Source organism: Homo sapiens, chromosome 16, assembly GCF_000001405.40.
Source record: "Homo sapiens chromosome 16, GRCh38.p14 Primary Assembly".
Lineage (NCBI taxonomy): Eukaryota > Metazoa > Chordata > Mammalia > Primates > Hominidae > Homo > Homo sapiens.
Window position 1 is genome coordinate 84546155 of NC_000016.10, and position 13139 is coordinate 84559293.

General features: G+C 49.0%; 4 annotated features.

Moving 5' to 3' along the window:
* Positions 484–1235: an enhancer, noted in NCBI's record as "H3K27ac-H3K4me1 hESC enhancer chr16:84580244-84580995 (GRCh37/hg19 assembly coordinates)". NCBI's record gives its function as "activates a minimal SCP1, AML or CMV promoter by ChIP-STARR-seq in primed H9 embryonic stem cells {active_cell/tissue: H9 hESC(primed)}" and the evidence as "EXISTENCE:reporter gene assay evidence [ECO:0000049][PMID:30033119]".
* Positions 1236–1986: an enhancer, noted in NCBI's record as "H3K27ac-H3K4me1 hESC enhancer chr16:84580996-84581746 (GRCh37/hg19 assembly coordinates)". NCBI's record gives its function as "activates a minimal SCP1, AML or CMV promoter by ChIP-STARR-seq in primed H9 embryonic stem cells {active_cell/tissue: H9 hESC(primed)}" and the evidence as "EXISTENCE:reporter gene assay evidence [ECO:0000049][PMID:30033119]".
* Positions 2738–3487: an enhancer, noted in NCBI's record as "H3K4me1 hESC enhancer chr16:84582498-84583247 (GRCh37/hg19 assembly coordinates)". NCBI's record gives its function as "activates a minimal SCP1, AML or CMV promoter by ChIP-STARR-seq in naive and primed H9 embryonic stem cells {active_cell/tissue: H9 hESC(naive and primed)}" and the evidence as "EXISTENCE:reporter gene assay evidence [ECO:0000049][PMID:30033119]".
* Positions 9274–9774: an enhancer, noted in NCBI's record as "H3K4me1 hESC enhancer chr16:84589034-84589534 (GRCh37/hg19 assembly coordinates)". NCBI's record gives its function as "activates a minimal SCP1, AML or CMV promoter by ChIP-STARR-seq in primed H9 embryonic stem cells {active_cell/tissue: H9 hESC(primed)}" and the evidence as "EXISTENCE:reporter gene assay evidence [ECO:0000049][PMID:30033119]".

The window sequence follows — 13139 nt, forward strand, 5'->3', positions numbered from 1 at the left end:
ACCATAAGAAAGAATGCTATGTCTATATCTGGGTTTCTCAACATGGGTACAAGTGACATTTGGGCTGGATCATCCTTTGTGGTTGGGGGGGGGAGTGTCCTGTGCATTGCAGGAGGTTTAGCGGTATCCCTGGCTCTACCTACCAGATGCCAGTAGCACCAGCCTCCTTGGTGTGACACCCAGAAATGCATCCAGACATTGCCGAGTGTTCCCTGGGGGCAAAATTGCCCGTGGTTGAGGACAGCCAGTCTATATGCAGTGAAGTATAAAGGTCTCCAAAACAGACTAATACATGAAAAAAAAAGTTACAGAACTGTCTGCATTAAAAAAATACAATGCTGGTCAGGTGTGGTGGTTCAAATCTGTAATCCCAGATTTCTATTCTAAAAAATAGAAAAACGTAACTGGGCGTGGTGGTGCACACCTGTAGTCCCAGCTATTCAGGAGGCTGAGGTAGGAGGATTGCTTGAACCCGGGAGGCAGAGGTTGCAGTGAGCCGTGATGGCACCACTGCACTCCAGCCTGGGCAGCAGAGCAAAATCATGTCTCAATAAATAAATAAATAAATAAATAAAGCTAAGCTATTTATCTATATAGACATAGATACAGATACAGAGTCATGCATTCAACGAGTTTTATTGAGCACCTGCCCCATGCCTGGAACTGTTCTTGGTGCTGAGCAAGTAACGACGATCAAAATGAAGTCTCTGCTCTACTGGAGATTACCCTCTGGAGATTACACTTTGTCTTCTGGCGGGGAAAGACAGCAATGAACAAGCGAATAGACACACGGTATCAGGTGGTGATAAGTGCTACAAAGAAACATAAGTGGGGCTCGGGGACCTCGAAAAGACACAGGTGCTGTTTTAGAATGGGGTCAGGGCAAGGTGACATTCTACTCCACTAAGGTGACATTGAGCAGGGAGCTGCATGAATGAGGGACCAGCATGGGTACTTAGAGGTCAGTGGGCTCCAGGCACAGCAGGAGTCCCCCTGAGGCAGGATGGTGCTGTGTGAGCAGGAGGCCCAGCGAGGAGACCCGAGGGCCTGCAACAGAATAAATGAGGACCGTGGTGGGCGACGAAGCCAGTGAGACATTGGGGGCACAACCACAGCCGGCCTTGTTGCATAGCACTGACTTTGCTTTTCGCCTCGAGAACTGGAGCGATCAGGAGAAAATCCAGCTTGGAATGTAAAGAGGCCACGGTGGACGGTTCTGGGAGTAACGGAAGAGAAAAGGGGGAGGGGGAGAGGGAGAGAGAAAAGGAAGAAAGGGAGGAAAGCAAGGAGGGAAGAGGGGAAACACCAGATTGTCCAGCTCACTGACGAGTTCAAATCCCAGCTCCTCCACCTCCTCAGGCAACCAGCTTCGTCTCTCTGAGCCTCAGTCTCCTGTTGTGTAAAATGGTTTAACCACGCCGCCTCTCATAGGAGAGAATGATGTCACCAAAGTTCCCACTACGGCGCTTTTTCCGTAGGTCCCAAGTGAAAACAGAAGCTTCCCTCTGTCCTGCCCCTACCCCCAGAAGACCCAGCCAACTCCTCTGCAGCAGCAGCGCTGTGGCTCAGGGGCCCCTGTTTAGGCTGTAGGCTCCATGGAGGCCCAGAGGGAATGCCTTTCCACACGTCAAAGAAACCTGAGACTCAAAGAAACCTGAGACCCTAAGGTCGTATCAACTGCAGACCTTTGGGCCTAATGGCTATTGCCACGAAGAGCCTTTTAGAAAAACATCTCAGCAGGGGCCGGGTTTGAAGGCCCCCAGGGGCTTGTGGGAGGCAACATTTTCTTCTGTCTGACAGCCCCCTCCAACTCCCCCAGCCCGGGATCCCTCCCTGACAGCTGGTGGGCTGAGCCTGCTTCCCGAGGCTGGGCTTTGGGGTTGGGGTCTCTTTGTCAGCCCAGGAATAACCCAGCACCCACCCGCCCAACCCACACACATACACAAACAGTTCATTCACCCTGCAGGAGAGGTCAGGCCCTCCCACAGCATCTGCCCAAGATGCTCGCAAATCCACGGGGACAATCCCAGGCCTGGGGCATCTCCATGTCACATAGGAGGGGGGGGGGTGCTCAGCCGAAAGCGGGGCCTCGAGAGGCTCTAAAGACAGCAGCACACGGCTGGGCGCGGTGGCTCACGCCTGTAATCCCAGCACTTTGGGAGGCTGAGGCAGGCAGATCACCTGAGGTCAGGAGTTTGAGACCAGCCTGACCAACATGGAGAAACCCTGTCGTTGCTAAAAACACAAAATTAGCTGGACGTGGTGGCAAATGCCTGTAATCCCAGCTACTCAGGAGGCTGAGGCAGGAGAATCACTTGAACCCAGGAGGCGGAGGTTGCGGTGAGCCGAGATTGTGCCATTGCACTCCAGCCTGGGCAGCAACAAGAGTGAAACTCGATCTCAAAAAAAAAAAAAAAAAAAGCAGCACAGGGCTCACTTTTCCCTCAGACCCTGCAGGGCCATGGAAACAGCCACAGGGGCTCAGGCAGCTGAAGAGAATGTTCTAGAATCCACAAAGAGCCTGGCCTGGCAGGAGCCTGGGGACCTGGAGATGCAGCCGGGTGCATCTATTCAGGCTTTCAAGCCTCCAGCAACCTGGAGACCTGCTGTCTCCACGCCTCGCCTCTCACACGGAGCCAGCCTGTGGGGCGAGTGGCTGCCTGCTTCCACCACCCCGACTCCTCCGTGTTGGTTGGCCAGGGTAATGAGAATGTGCTTGTTTTGATGAAATGTCAATCACTTGTATATAAATATCTATATTTAGGACTCCTTTAGAAAATAAGAAAATCTGGGAGCACACAGTCACCATGCAGCTGCCCTCTTTAGAAAGACACGCGCCCTCCCCTGGCCACAGTCCCCACCTCTCCCTGTTGTCTCCTTGGTGCCCAGCCTCCAGCCCTCCTCCCCGTACTTGCCAGGCCCCGGAGGCCTTGGATCCCCAGTCCCCTGCCCAGAGATGCCCCGGGGCAGCCAACCCCATGCCAGACGAGAGTCTCAACCGAGCAGGGAGGCAGGCTGAGACGCAGGAGGCCTTGCCCACTTAGAATCAGCCACCAGTGATACAGAGGGTGGAGGAGGAGAGGCAGGAGGATGGAGGAAGGACATGCCAAGGTCTCAAGCTGGAGAACACGGGGCTGATGGGGAGGTGGCAGAGACAGGGCCTGCTGGGAGAAGCAGGAAAGGCAGAGAATGTGTCCATGCGTCCGGAGCCCTGACCTGTGGTGGGGCCGTTCTGTCGGCAACCGGGACATGCGCTTGTCTGAGTTCCAGGAAGAGAGAGCTGTGTGCACATCCTGTCATCAGAGCAGCTTGAAATAAATGCCCCTATTTGTGTATCCGATTGGCAACAAGTAAAAGATTAATGATAGGAGACAGAAAGCAGATGAGTGGCTGCCGGGGGCCAGGGAGGGGGTGGGGAGTGACTGCCTAATTGATACGAGTTTTCCTTTTGGGGTGACAGGAAAGTTCTGGGGCTAGAGCAGCGGGGGTGGCACAATATCGTGAGTGTGCTGAATGCAACGGACTGGATCACTTTAAAATAGTTAAAATGGTAAGTCCTATGTCGCGTGTATCTTACCACAGTTAAAAAAAGATGACTCATATCCATTGTTGGTGAGGGCAGGGGAAAGGGGGCAGACTGTCAATCAACACGTGGCTTCGGGAGGACAATTTGGTAATTCACATCCATAATGTCCTTTTTTATGTTTTAATTTTTAATTTTTATTTTTTGTAGAGACGGGGATCTCATTTTGTTGCCCCAGCTGGTCTCAAACTCCTGGCCTCAAGTGATCCTCCCAATTCGGCCTCTCGAAGTGCTGCGATGACAGGAATGAGCCACTGCTCATGCAGCACACATCGATAATTTAAATGGTTAGCCCAAAAATCTTTTAGAAATCCACCCCACAGAAATTCTGAAATAAAGACTTGTGTGAAAGGAGGTTCAAGACAGAAGTGTTCCTTAAAAGCGCAATTGCTGGAAACCATAGGAATGCCTTACCAGTTTTCTTTTGTTGTGTAACAAAGTACAACAAACTTGATGACTTCAGACAACACTCTTCCCTCCCCATAAAAACACCCAAGTCACTGGTGATGTCACAGTTCTGCAGTTGAGAAGTCTGGACAAGCACGGTTGGACTCTCTGCTCAGGGCATCCTAAGGCCAAAATCAAGGTGCCAGCTCACTGCATTCTCACCTGGAGCCCAAGGGCCTCTTCTGAGATCACTTGGTGGCTTTAAGACAGGGGTTCCCGTATTTCCCAACTGTGAGAGCCATGAGCCATCCTTACCTCCTGGAGGCCTTTCTGACCCACCCCCCGCAACAATGGAGAATTTCCCTGTTCCCTGAAGTCAAATCCCTCTCCTACTTACAATCTCCCTGTCAGAAAGAATCCCAGCCCTTTTAAGGGCTCGACTGATTGGGTCAGGCCCACTGAGGGTCATCTCCCATTCTCAAAGTCAACAATGTCATAAAACACACTCTAATCTAATCACAGAGTGATACCCCCATCACGTTGGTAGGATCCTTTATGGGGTATAGACGTCAGCCTCAACAGTGTCTGTCAACAGGGGACTAGTTCATCTCCATAATCTCAAATACTGGAGACTTTTTCAATAAATGAGATATCTCTATATGAACATTTTCCTTGAGGTGTTGTTAACGACATGCAAATAATTGATGCAATTTCATCAGTTTCCTTGATGTAATTGCAAAACTACACATATACCTATTATATATATATAATTTCATGTATAATTGTATATGTACAATTTCACTTACATATATAAAATTTCATTTTGTTAAAAAAAAAAAAAATCTATGCATGGCCCGGGTGCGGTGGCTCACACCTGTAATCCTAGCACTTTGGGAGGCCGAGGCAAGCAGATTGCCTGAGCTCAGGAGTTCAAGACCACCCTGGGCAACATGGTGAAACCCTATCTCTACTAAAATACAAAAAATTAGCTGGGTGTGGTGGTGGGTGCCTATAGTCCCAGCTACTCAGGAGGCTGAGGCACAAGGATCACTTGAGCCCAGGAGGCAGAGGTTGCAGTGAGTCTAGATCATGCCACTGCACCCCAGCCTGGGCGACAGAGTGAGACTCTGTCTCAAAAAAAAAAAAAAAAAAAAAAGAAATCTATGCATTCTTGTACAAGTGTGTGTATGTGTACATGCACAAAGAAAAGTCTGGAAGAATATAGACCAAACTATAAATAGCAAGTACCTCAAAGAAGGGAGGCTGTATGAAGCAGAATTCTCACTTTTTATTTTATATACTCTGTATTATTAAAATTAGTTACATTGAATATGTATTACTTTCACAGTTAAAAAGATTAAGGGCCAGGTACAGTGGCTCACGCCTGTAGTCCCAGCACTTTGGGAGGCTGAGGCGGGTGGATCACCTGAGGTCAGGAGTTCGAGACCAGCCTGGCCAACATGGTGAAACCCTGTCTCTACTAAAAATACAAAAATTACCCAGGCATGGCGGTGCACACCTGTCATCCCAGCTGCTCGGGAGGCTGAGGTAGGAGAATCATATGAACCCAGGAGGCGGAGGTTGCAGTGAGCTCACACCAGTGCACGCCAGCCTGGGCAACAAGAGCAAAACTCTGTCTCAAAAAAAAAAAAAAAAAGATTGAAACATTAAATTTAAAACAAGCTCACAATGTAATCACTAAATTTTTAAGGTTCATAAAGGAAAGCTGGTCCCCCCTGACTGGCCTCCCCCTCACTGGGAGAAATTCTCAAGCCAGCTCATCTTTTGTTTTGTTTTTTGTTTGTTTGTTTGTTTGTTTGTTTTGAGACAGGGTCTTACTCTGTCACCCAGGCTGGAGTGCAATGACACCATCATAGCTCATTGCAGCCTCAACCTCATGGACTCAGGTGATCCTCTAGCCTCAACCTCCCAAGTAGCTGAGATTACAGGTGCATACCATCACATCTGGCTAATCTTTATTTTTCTGTAGACATGGGGAGCCTCATTATGTTTCCCAGCTTGTGTCAAACTCCTGGGCTCAAGTGATCCTCCCTCTGTAGCCTCTCAAAGTGCTGGGATTGCAAGCATGAGCCACTGTGTCCAGCCCAGACTTGTTATTTTTCAGTTTTGAACTATTTCTTAGTGACTCTTGAACTTCCTCATTGTTAAGTGAGAGGTCTAGAAATCAGAGCGTGGTGAGGACCCAGAACCACACCCGATGCTCTGTTCTCTCAGAGGGGCCCAAATACCTCTGTGCAGACAGCGGCAGGGTAGAGGGACTGTCCACACTGGAGGTCAGCAGCACCCCTGAGACCTGAATCAGGCTGAGGGTCAAGAGCTGGAGAGGATGGAGCGGGGTGGGCTCACACACCAGGCAGCAGGGATGGGTTCCCAGCAGGGTGGTATAAGTCAGGCTTGGTGCCCAAAGTAGGAATGATTCTATTCTGCCAGAGGGTCACAGACTAGGCCACCCCAAAATATGCCATTCTGGCATCAGGATTATTTTGAGCTGAAGACAGTTGAGAAGAAGCAGATGAAGGAAAAGCTCTGCCCTACCCTATTTAAGCAGGACATAGATTTCTTTTTTTCTTTTTTTTTTTTTTTTTTGAGACAGAGTGTCACTCAGTAGCCCAGGCTGTAGTGCAGCGGCGTGATCTCGGCTCAATGCAAACTCCTCCGAGGCTCAAGTGATTCTCCTGCCTCAGCTTCCCGAGTAGCTGGGACTACAGGTGCATACCCCCATGTCCAGCTTTTTTTTTTTTTTTGAGATGGAGTTTCACTCTTGTTGCCCAGGCTGAAGTGCAATGGCACGATCTCAGCTCCTGCAGTCTCTACCTCCTAGGTTCAAGCGATTCTCTAGCCTCAGCCTTCTGAGTAGCTGGGACTACAGGCACCTGCCACCATGCCCGGCTAATGTTTTGTGTTTTTAGTAGAGATGGGGTTTCACCATGGTGGCCAGCCTGGTCTTGAACTCCTGACCTCAAGTGATCTGCCCACCTTGGCCTCCCGAAGTGCTGGGATGACAGGCGTGAGCCACCATGCCTGGCCCTAAAAGCAGGACATATATTTCTAACAGTGCCTCCTGGCCATCTTTCTACCAGGAAGGGCAGAAATTCATCACCAGACACAGCCCTAGACCCTTACTGCCCAGATGGCACCACAGGAATCTACGCAACAAATGTTGCTAACTGGCCCTTATCTTCTATCGGTTTCCCCATCTTTGCCTTCCCCCAATCTTCTGTTGCCCCAGAAACTCTCAAGACCTTCTCTTTTTTTCTTTTGGTCTTGTCCCTTCTGTACAGATGAGTTGCTTTTTTGGTTGAGGTGGAATGCAAGTTCAAGTTCTCACCACCCCTGGAGTTACTTGTCAGTGGGTGATCCTGGGTGTATCTGTGACACACATGTTAATAAACTTCTGTTGGTTTTTCTCTAGTTAATATGTCTTGAGACAGGCTCTCACTCTCACCCAGGCTGGAGTGCAGTGGCACTGTCACAGCTCATTGCAGCCTCAATCTTTTGTCATTTCACAGGGCCTCAGTTAAGGAACCTAAGATGGGTAGAGGAAAATGAACAATTTCCTTCCCTACATAAGCATTTCAGGCAGAAGACAACTGAACACAAGGTGTTCGATGCTGACGAAACTGACGGGTTGGATGGAGGGCTGTAAGGACCCCCCAGATGCTGCAGAACCGACTCACCAGCAAGGCTGCCATGATCAGGAATACGGAGAATCAGAAACCTTCCCGAGGGACCGTTGAGCCAAGCACACCCTCAGAGCTGCACCCCAGGGATCGGAGCCCCACAGCTGCCTCCGCACCTACCTCCGCACCTGCCTCCAGGCACCCACGAAGCTGGAGACTGGACACTCATATCCGCACAACCTTGCCTGCCAAGAGAAAATGGGCCACTGAGAGATGCTTCTGCCTCCCTCCTGTCTTCCAAATCTCATGTGAACGTGCTTAACTGTCACAACCAAATGTGCCCCCAAAACCCCGGATGTCAGAGAGTCTGGGTAATTCATTTTAAGTTTTCAGTGTTGAAAGCCCTGGAAGGAAGTGGGAATGGATGCTGAGTACCAAGAGTCACTACCTAGGATGGGGACTACACCACGGGAGGCCAAGAACTCAGACTGGGGCCCAGGAGGTGGGAGAGAATCAAGCTACAAGGTCCAACGCCATGTTCACTGTCTGAGCTGGGCCACGCTTGCATTGCTGTACAGAAACACCTGAGACTGGACACTTTATAAGAAAAGAGATTTAATTGGCTCATGGTTCTGCAGGCTGTACAGAAAGCATAGCACTGGCATCTGCTTCTGGGGAGGCCCCAGAAAGCTCCCAATCGTGGCAGAAGGCAAAGAGGGAGCTCACATTGCGTGAGCAGGAGCAAGAAAGAGAGGCGGCGAGGAGGTGCCACACAATTAAACAACGAGATCTCATAAGAATTTACTCACTATCACAACGACAGCACCAAGGGCATGAGCTAAACCATCCATGAGAAATCCACCCCACCCAGGAGGCGGAGGCTGCAGTGAGCTGAGATGGCGCCACTGCACTCCAGCCTGGGTGACAAAGTGGGACCTTGCCTCAAAAAAAAAAAAAAAAATAGAAATCCACTACCATGATCCAGTCACCTCCCACCAGGCCCCACCTCCAACACTGGGGACTACAGTTCAACATGAGATTTGAGCAGGGCCAAGTATACAAACTTTATCACCACTCCAGCTGCAGCGAAAGCCTTGACACCTTGACCTGGTCCCCGGTCTAGGTTTCCTGGGTGACCTTGTGGTCTTTAAACATAGTATCGGGATCAAGTTTCTCTGCTTTAACCTCAGATAGCTGAGCAGATTCACTCCTGCGAAGCTCGCACTCTGGTAATTATTGATCATCACAATCTTAGTGGCTGTTCTGCCTTGAGTGGCTGTTGCTTGCCAAGCACTGTGCTGAGAGCATCGTGCATTACTCTGCATCAGGTATTTTACAGCAACCGTATATGATTAGGACTGTCGTTACTATTATCGTTTAGAAGGTGATGAAACTGAGGCTCAGAGAGGTTTTATAACTTGCCCAAGGTCACACAGCAAGTAAATGACAGAGCCAGGATTAGAACCTATTTGCTGAACCACTTGATGACATTGGCTGCCACTATTCATTCTGATTTTATTTTTAAATAAGAAAACAAATCTGTGCTTCCTAAATCAAGTTTGTTTGGAAGACAATTGTCCCAAAATATAAAATGCATGGGGAGGTGAATAGTAAAAGGAATGCTTTGTAGGGAAGGAACCGGAGCCTGTGGTACTCAGTGACCCCTGTGCCATTTCAGAGCCAACATTCTGTTCTACAAGCATGCCTCTTTATTCTCTGTTCAGTAGCAACTGGGACCGCATCCATGCTGGAAGTTACTACCCGTGGAGCCAGGGTGGGAGGCGGGCTCGGGGGAGGAGGGCCTGCTTCTTGGAGGATGCTCTGTGATCCTCCCTGAAGCGATCTACAATATGGTCCCAGAGTTGCCATAGCAACTCCCCATCTGGGCTATTTGAATGAAATAAAGGAAGCAACTTCTCTCTGCAGACTATTGTGACTTTGAAGAATGACTCCTTCAGCAGACGTTTAACAGTGTCACCCAGGGGTGGCAAAAGCAAATGCTCACAGGAAGCGAACAGACAACGTAAAGGAGCTAAGGAAAGGACGGCAGGGAGGTTCATTGGGTAGCTGGGGGCTGGAGGGCCCTGGGTAGTGCACCTCCCCCTGCCCCCATCCACGCAGGCAGCTGCAGCTCAATCATAGCCCCTTGTTACTCCGCAGGAATGTAAACCCAAGGTTACTGGATCTTCAGGTTTGTCAAGAAAAGCTGAAAGCTAGATTTTTAGGTGAAACCTTTGCATCTTTAAATGTTAGCACCCAATCCAAACTTCGGACTGGGACTTCCAGGCGCTGTTGTGCAAGTCATGCCCTGCACGACTCCGAGGACGTCGGTTTCATGTTTGTTCCAGTGTGGAGTGCTCCCTACAGTAAACTGCACACTGCGCAGCCAGGTGTGTGTAGTCCTGTAATGTCAGGGGGCCGAATTTGGCTTGTCACCAGTGTGCCAATTCCAATTCTAAGTATCCAGCCGTAGAGGTCTGGCTAGAGAAATTATTGTTCAACTAACCAATATAAGCCACCAAAAATAGTGAATAGCGTTCATAGATGTGAAAAGGTGTTCACAATATATTGACATGTGAAAAAAGCACATTACAAAAATATAAACAGAGCATAATCTTAGTTTTTGAAAATAAAGATGTACACGTTGCATTAAAAAGTCTGCAAAAAGAGAGGAGGGAGGGCATTAGGAAGAAGAGCTAATGCCTGCTGGGCTTGGTACCTAGGTGATGGGTTGATAGGTGTAGCAAACTACCTTGGCACACGTTTACCCATATAACAAACGTGCACATCCAGTACATGTACCCCAGAACTTAAAATTTTTCAAAATAGTCTGCAAGGTTGCACCCCCAAATGTGACAACAGTAACCTCAGAGAGGTATAAAGTCATTTTTATTTTCATCTTCTTTATCTCTGTGTTTTCTCAATATTTTTTGATGGCATGTAAATACTTATAAAATTAAAAAATTTAAGTTCATTCCAAAAATTCTTCTAATGGCTGAACGCAGTGTCTCACACTTGTAACCCCAGCACTTTGGGACGCCAAGATGGGCAGGTCGCTTGAGCCCAGGAGTTGGAGACCAGCCTGAGCAACATGGCAAAGCCCCGTCTCTACAAATTAAAAAAAAAAAAAAAAAAAAAAAGGCTGGGCGTGGTGGCCTGCGCCTGTAGTCCCAGCTACTTGGGAGGCTGAAGTGGGAGGATCGCTTGAGTCTGGGCAGTCGAGCCTGCAGTGAGCCATGATCGAGCCACTGCACTCTAGTCTGGGCAACAGAGTGAGACCCTGTCTCAAAAAATAATAACAATAATTCTTCTAAAATGAAATCAAAGTTCGTTTTCTAGCAAAAAGGAAGAGAGTAGGACTGTGGCCAAAAGCAATGCTTTTCAAACTCCAACGTATTTCAGCATGGCCCTGGACAGTTAGCTCAAACACAGATTACTACCTGCCCTGGCTGTGCCTGGGATAGGTCTTGTGGAATGTGCTGTTTAAGCTAGTATCCAGGTGACGCTAGTGCTTGGGTCCCCAGACCATGCATTCCAAACACTGGAACAAAAGCCTTATTAGGCTCTATCCTCTGTAAAGATATTCTCATAAGAATATCTAAGAATCATCTGGTAAACTCGTTTAAAATGTAGTCCTGGGACCATCCCCAAAGACTGAAACTCACGGGGTCTGGAGCGGTGCCCAGGAACCTGCATTTTCATAAATATACAGGGTGGTTTTGCTGTAGGTGGTTTCTGGGGACAGCCTTTGAGAAGCACGGTTCTAAAAGCCAACCTGGAGATGGGATCGAGGGATTGCTGGTCTCTTTGTGGTATGAACTCATTTAGGTGGCATCCATATATTAAGTGAGCAGCTACTGGGCTCCCACTGTTTGCCAGGCACTGGGCCAGGAGCTGGAGGAGCTGGACAGATGTATAAGACATGCCCCTGCTGCAGCCCTGGGCTCTACTAGGGATGATAGGGACTGCGGGGAGCCAGAGGCAGCCAGCACCCAGGTGGAAGGCATCTGAGGAGGCTGGGGGATGGGGACAGGGGTATAGGAAACGAGGGCCTGGGCAGTGAATGCTCCCGGGCTGAGGGAGGCAGTCTACAGGAGGGCACTGGGAGCTTCAGTCTCTTGACCTTTCAGACAACGAATTTGGTTCTCAGCAGCAACCAGCTGCATTGTGGTAGTGTTTGAATCTTCATACTCAGAACTCGTGCATTGAGCAGCAATCTATCCTCTCTGATCTTAATTGACCCATTGTAAGAACCCTCATTACTTTCTTCTTAGCATCCTGCCGACTCTTCCAACAGGTGTATTTTAAACCAAATCACCTGTTCCAGGTGAGCAGTTTGACATTCCTCCCTCTGACTGATATGTACTACATGAATTCCCTTCTGTGTTTAAAAAACGTTTCTTAACTTTAATACTCCAAAAAGACAGAAAACTAGGGAAAATTATCTAATTTCCACCTACCCATTACACAGATGATAACATCTTACTATATGCATCTGTAAGGTTTGTTACCCAGATGCTAACATCTTACTTATTTCCTTCAGCTTTTTAAAAAATACATGAGCCCAGAAAGACACAGCAAAGCTCCACTCCAGCACTGTCTTTCCCCTCTTCCCTCCCTCCTCCCACCCTCCTCCCACCCTCCTCCCAGGGCTCACCTCTCGTTTTCATTGTGCCCGATGCATCTCTGCTCGGGTGGACCTACTCAAAACCAAGGTCTGAGGATTTTGTTTGGAAATTTAGCACAAGTGTTATCACTGTTCCCCGATCACTTTGTAAGCTGCCTTTTATACCTGCCTTTATGTTCTGGGGTTTAATAGAGCCATCACAGCTTGTCTTGCCTGTGCGTGCACGCAGTGGTGTGGCCTGTCCTCCGCAGTGACACCGGACATGGGAACTGCTGGGGATGAACCAAGGAGCAAAGAATTCAGTGCCTGCTCTCTCATTCTCTCAGGTTTACCAGAAATAACCCATGGACTGTAGCCTTCAGTTCAAAGGGGTTTTTCTTTTTCTTTTTCTTTTTTTGAGACTGGGTCTTGCTCTGTTGCTCACACTGGGGTGCAGTGGCGCGATCATGGTTCACTGCAAACTTGACCTCCTGGACTCAAGCAATTCTCCCACCTCAGCCTCCTGAGTAGCTGGGACCACAGACACATGCCACCATGCCCAGCTAATTTTATTTTTATTTTTCGTAGAGATGGGGTCTCTGGCCGGGCACAATGGCTCACACCTATAATCCCACCACTTTGGGAGGCTGAGGCAGGAGGATCACTTGAGCCCAGGAGTTCAAGACCAGCCTGGGCAACATAGCAAGATCCCATCTCTATTTTTTTCCCCTGAGATAAAGTCTCTCATTGTTCCCTAGGCTGGTCTCGAACTCCAAGGCTCAAGCGATCCTCCTGCCTCAGCCTCCCAAAGTGCTGGGATGGCAGGCATGAGCCACCACTCCAGGCCCAAAGGGGCCTCTTTACTCGCTTATCCCCCAGTTGCAGTGGCAGCTCCCTCAACACGTTCCCAGCACAGGCAGAT